The sequence below is a fragment of the Homo sapiens genome, chromosome 6, assembly GCF_000001405.40.
Source record: "Homo sapiens chromosome 6, GRCh38.p14 Primary Assembly".
Lineage (NCBI taxonomy): Eukaryota > Metazoa > Chordata > Mammalia > Primates > Hominidae > Homo > Homo sapiens.
The window spans coordinates 148,567,227-148,570,590 of record NC_000006.12 but is presented as its reverse complement, the minus strand read 5'-3'; the positions used below and the strand labels follow the sequence as shown (position 1 = coordinate 148,570,590).

Sequence of the window (3,364 nt, the reverse complement as noted above, 5' to 3'; positions counted from 1 at the left end):
AACATGGAACTCACTAAGAACTGTAGGGTGCCACCGAAGCTTGGTTCGGGGAGTACCAGTGGATGCCCACCTCCTATGTCACTGGTAGCCGTGCAGGAGGAGCAATGAGAAAGGAAAGGAAGCGTGCTGGGTGCTAGGAAGAGAAGCCCCTTCCTCCTGCATTGGTCCCGCCAGTGCCCTGTATGCACACACAAAGGAGAAACTCACAGTGCTCGGCTTCAGGGTGGGTAAGCGACAAAGAGTCCATTTAGAGCAGAGGGGCAATAAATTGATAGCCAGCTCACCCCTTCTTCCCTTCAATGTATTTAAAGAATATAAAACAGAATGTATGATTTTGAGAAGGATTTGTTTCCACCAAGGAAGTGGCCAAACAAGGGCTGGGGGGCCACATGGCAAACCTGTTCTCCACGGGGGTTCTTAAGATTTTTTTGGTGCCATGAGCTTCTTTGACTGTCTGGTGAAGCCTGTGTATCTTTTCTCAAAATAATGTTTTTAATATGCATAGTCTAAAATACATAGAATTACAAAGAAACCAATGAAATCAAAACAAAGTAATGTAAATTATTAAAAAAAAAAACAAATTTGTGGCCAGTTGCTGTGGCTCACGCCTGTTATCTCAGCACTTTGGGAAGCCACAGCAGGAGGATCACTTGAGGCCAGGAGTTCAAGACCGTCCTCGACAACATCGCAAGACCTCGTCTCTACAAAATTTTTTAAAAAATTAGCCAGGCATGGTGTGCACACCTGTAGTCCTAGCTGCTTGGGAGGCTGAGACGGTAGGATCACTTCAGCCCAGAAGTTTGAGGCTGCAGTGAGCTGTGATTACGCCACTGCACTCCAGCCTGGGTGGCAGAGTGAGACCCTGTCTCAAAAAAACAAAACAAAACAAACAAAAAGCAAAACCAAATTTGTGATATAGTTTGATGATTAATTCTATGTGTGAACTTTATGGCATCATGCGGAGCCCAGAGAGCTGGCTAAACATGATTTCTGGGTATGTCTGTGAGGGTGTTTCCAGATGAGGTTAGAATTGAATGGCAGCCTCAGTAAAGCATTGTAGATGGGCATCAGCCAATCTATTGAGGGACCGAATACAACAAAAAGCTGGAGGAAAGGGGAATTTGCTCGCTGTGCCTAACTGTTGAGCACAGACATCTGTCTTCACCCTTCAGTGGAAACTTACACCATTGGTCCCCTGGTTCTCAGAACTGTACCACCAGGCTCCCCAAGTCTCTAGCTTGAAGATGGCAGGTTGTAGGACTTCTTGACCTCCATGATTGTGATAGACAATACCTTATTTTATTTATACACAGACACAGACACACACAAACACAAATACACACGCACATATATATGTATACAGGATAAAATTCCTAAAAAGGAAAATAACTCAAAGTTTAGACAGGGTTTCATTTTAACATTAATGCATTTTGCGTGGTTTTTTTTTAAGTGGAGTCCTTATTTAACAGGAGGAATGGGCCCTCCTGCCTCCCTGCTTCCATAACCCCGGGATAGACTTCGCCGCCTGTGGAGTCATCACACCACACTGTCATTAGTGCCCATGTCGATGTTCTCCTCCCTGGACTGAGCTCCCAGGGAGCAAGAATTGACATGCTGCATCATTCCTACCCCACCAACCAGCGCAGCGCCTCCTCCGTGCCAGGGCTCCACAAGTATTTGTTGGATGAAGAGTACACAACAAGAAAGTACGCCAGCACCTATATCTTTTTTCCTTTTTCAGGAGGCTACCCCAAGGGAGAGTGGAATTGAGCAAAAATGGAATGTGCAGCCTGGGGACTTTAGGTCTGTGTTCCAGCCTGTGCCTGCCAGCCTTGGCCGCTCTGCCCTAACTTCTAGTTCTGCCTTCTGGGATGTTGCTTTGCATAAGCAGGATAGGGCAGATATCTATATCTATAGATAGATATAGATATAGATATAGATATAGATACACATTTATATTATAGTAATATATATTATATAATATATAAATGTTATATATTATATAATATATAAATGTTATATTAATTATTATATAATATATATAATATTATTATATATAATATAATATAATTATTATATATAATATAATATAATTATTATATATAATATAATATAATTATTATATATATAATATAATATAATTATTATATAATTATATAATATATAAAATAATTATATAATTAATATATAATGTATTTACATTGTATATATTATTATATATGCACATATGCATATAAAATATAAAATATAAGTATATTATAGGTAATATAATTATATATAACAAAATTTTATATATAATATAAAATTTGTGGGTATATATATGCATATATGTACACGTACATAGTTATATATGTACACATACATTTTTTTTACCACCTCTGGAGAACTGTAATACACAAGTGCTTCTATATTACCGCACTAAAAACCAAGATCTAGCAGTGGGTTCAATAGCTACATCATTTCTAAGTAGTGATGAGTACAAATAACATCATGGGCTATTTGTAGCCACTCTGAAGTGACATGAAAATATCTGTGTTTTGAACACTTCCGCTTCCGGTTTATTTATTTTTGAGACAGAGTCTTACTCTGTTGCTCAGGTTGGAGTGCCATGGCATGATCTCAGCTCACTGCAGACTCTGCCTCCTGGGTTCAAACTATCCTCCCACCTCAGACTCTCAAGTAGCTGGGTAGCTGGGATTACAGGCGTGAACCATCACAACCAGCTATTTTTTTGTATTTTAGTAGAGAGGGGGTTTCGCCATGTTGGCCAGGCTGGTCTCGAACTCCTGGCCTCAAGCCATCTGCCTGCCTCGGCCTCCCATAGTGCTGAGATTACAGGTGTGAGCCACCATGCCCAGCCCATTTTCGGTTTTTTATTCCAGAAGTTGCTGGCTGAGGTAGCGTGTGGGTCAGTGTGCTTTCTGTGGGATTCCACCATGGTGTACCACAGCCAGGGCCAGAAAGTGCAGAAGGTTATGGTGCAGCCCATCAACCTCATCTTCAGATACTTACAAAATAGACCCTGGATTCAGGTGTGGGTCTATGAGCAAGTGAATCTGGACAGGAAGCTTTATCATTGGTTTTGATGAGTGTAAGAACCTTGTATTAGATGATGCAGAAGAGATTCATTCTAAAACAAAGTCAAGAAGACAGCTGGGTCAGATCATGCTAAAAGGAGGTACTATTACTCTGCTACAAAGTGTCTCCAACTAGAAATGATCAATTAAGTGAGAAATTGTTGAGAAGGATACACTTTGTTTTTTAGATGTCCTTTGTCCAATATGAACATTTATTCACATTGTTTGGATTACCCTTATGTCATTACAAGATGACAATAAATGCTGTAGGATTGTTTGAATTGAAA

At 40.0% G+C, this 3,364-nt stretch overlaps 1 pseudogene; it reads left to right on the top strand.

Annotated features, from left to right (window-relative positions):
* SNRPEP6 (SNRPE pseudogene 6) lies at positions 2,873–3,364 on the top strand (annotated as a pseudogene).